Here is a 2924-nt window from a genome sequence, read left to right on the forward strand (position 1 = left end):
AAGTTCTCACAGGCCCCAGGTGGGTCCTGAGTTGTCTGGGAGTTAGAGAGTTGAGTCAAAAACCTTAGAAATCTGCAAGGTGTTCTATTGTACTGCCACTGAGCTGGCACTCAAACCACAAGATTCAGTCCTTCCCACTCCTCTCTTCCATTTCCAAAGGCAGAGGAGTCTCACCCCACAGTCTAACCACACAGGCCCATGGGGAGTACTGCCAGACTACTTCCAATGTTCCATTAAGGTCCAAGGGCTCTTAAGTCAGTTCGTGCTGAATGCTGCCTGGCTTAGGACTCACCCTTCAGGGCAGAGGGCTCCCCTCTGACCCAGGACAGGACCAGAATGCTGTCCAAGACCCAAGTCCTAGAATCAGGAATTCCAAGAACCTGCTTGGTCTCTACCACTCTGTGGCCAACCTGGTACCCAAGGTTAAAGGCAAAGTTCCCTTTACTTTTCCCTCTGCTTTTCTCAAGCAGAAGCAGTTTTTCCTTGTAGCTACCACACCTGGGAATATGCTGAGTCTCACCTGAAGCCTGCAAGTCTCAAAGGCTCACCAAGGCCCTCAATGTAGTACTTGGATATCGCTGCTGGTTAATCAGGGCCCAAGGGCTCTTCAGTTAGCAGGTGATAAATGCTGCTAGAATTGGGTCCTTCCCTTTAAAGCAGCAGGTTCCCTTCTGACCCGAGGTAGCTCTAGAAATGTTATCCAAGAGCTAGGGCCTGGAATGAGGGCTTCATAAGTGTGACCAGTGCCCTATTCTGCTGTGGCTGAGTTGGTATTCAAGATACAAGACAAAGTCCTTCCCACTCTTCCTTCTCCTCTCTTCAAGTGGAAGGAAGGGGTCTCTTTTGGATCCACGGGTGTGCAGTCGGGTTAGGGGAGGTGTAATACCAATACTCCCTTACCTGCCCCAGCTGGTGTCCAGTAGGTCATGTCCCATCACCTATTCCTTGATCTGCTGGGTCTGAACCCAGTCCAGCACTAGGACTTGCCTAAAAGTTGTAGTCGTTGTGGCCTAGCCTGCCATTGAAGTTTGTTCAGAGCCCCAAAGCACTTTAGCTGGTGGTGATGAGGTTTCTGTGAACTCAAGTTCTGACTGCTAGGATGGGCAACTCCCCTCTCATAAGGCTCCTTCAAATGCTCCCTCCATGGGTGGCCATTAGCTGAGTTTGGTCTGGTTTTCCTTTTTTGCGCCAACAGGACAGCACTGAGTTCAATGTACCACGATTGACATGCTCTCCCTCCCACAGCACACAGAAATGCTCTCTGCACCAAGTGATAGCGACTAAGGGGTTGGGAAGGGTTGGCATCAGCCATTCAAGACTGTTTTTTCCTACCTTTTCAGTGCATGTTTCAGCAATGCAAAGTTAAAACCAGGTACTGTGAGTGTTCACCAAATTTTTTGCTCTTATGAAGGTGCTTTCTTGTGTAAATAGTTATTTAATTAGGGGACAATCAGTGGAGACTTCCCTTCCACCATCTTATTCCACCTCTAATAGGCCAAGCAGAGTCTTCCACATTGTGCAGCTTATTGGGCAACCTCCCCTTGCCCTGTTGTTACCCTTGGTGAAAACACAAGAAGAACCCTGGAAAAGGAGAAAGAAACCTGTCTCTCAAGTTAAAGAATCCTGAGGTGGTCTATCAGACATAACGCTGTACTAAGAATCAAACAATCAAAATCTGACATCATTACCCTGAACAACTCACTAATTTATTATTGAGCAGGTAGTTATTGAATTGTTCATCTGTTGCAAACACTTTGCAGGCATTGAGGATACATTTTGAGTAATATAAACAAAAATCCTGCTCAATCGAGTTTGCATTCTAGTGGAAAAACAGAACAAATGAGAAAACACATAAATTAATTTCAGAAAGTAAGTGCCACATAGCTAGTAAAGCAAAGTTTGATATAGAGACCCAAAAATGGAACAGAAGTGTTCCGTTTCAAAAAGATTGTTGAAGGCAGGCTTGTATGTTTTGACTGTGTCCTCACCTAAATCTCATTTGGAATTGTAGTTCCCATAATCCTCATGTGTTGTTGAAGGGACCAGGTGGAGAAAACTGAATCATAGGGGCAGTTTCCCCCATCCTGTTCTCATGATAATGAATTAGTTCTCACAAGATCTGATGGTTTCATAAGGGGCTTCCCCCTTCACTGGGCACTGATTCTTCTCTTGCCTGCCACTGTGAAAGACATGACATTGCTCCTCATTCACCTTCCACCATGATTGTGAGGCCTTCCCAGTCATGTGGAACTGTGAGTCAATTAAATTTTTCCTTATAATTAACCCAGTCTCAGGTATGCCTTTATTTATACATGTGAACAGATTAATACACAGGCCATTGAGGAATCAACATGTGAGCTGAACGTTGAAAGATATAGAGGACTTGGCCTCTACATGATACTAGGAAGGAAGATCTTTGCATACAGCGAGAATATCAATTATATATCATTAAAATGATACTTAATGGAAAATAAGTGATGACATGCAAATATCCTATTGATGCAGTATTGCAAAGGATTAAGCAGGATACAAAATTGTGTGTGTGTGTGTGTGTGTGTGTGTCCAGTCTACTTGACAAATATTCTTCTCTGTGTGAAAAAATTTTGAAAAGAACTTTGTACAATAAAAATGGTTGTGCTAAGGTATAGAATTATTGGAATGTTCCTCTATTTTTATTCTGAATAATGTAAAGTCAATATTCTATATTCAAAACTTTGCCCTAGAAGATGGTTGACTACCCTTCCCAGTCTCTAGTAATCACTATTCTACTCTTCACCTCTATGAGATCAACTTTTTTAGCTTCCACATATGAATGAGAACATGGGGTAATTATCTTTCTGTGCCTGGCTTAATTTGCTTAATTCTCTAGGCTCATCCATGTTTCACAAATGACAGAATTTCATTTTTTATGGCTGAATACTATT

Source organism: Homo sapiens, chromosome 10 (genome assembly GCF_000001405.40).
Source record: "Homo sapiens chromosome 10, GRCh38.p14 Primary Assembly".
NCBI classification, from domain to species: Eukaryota; Metazoa; Chordata; class Mammalia; order Primates; family Hominidae; genus Homo; species Homo sapiens.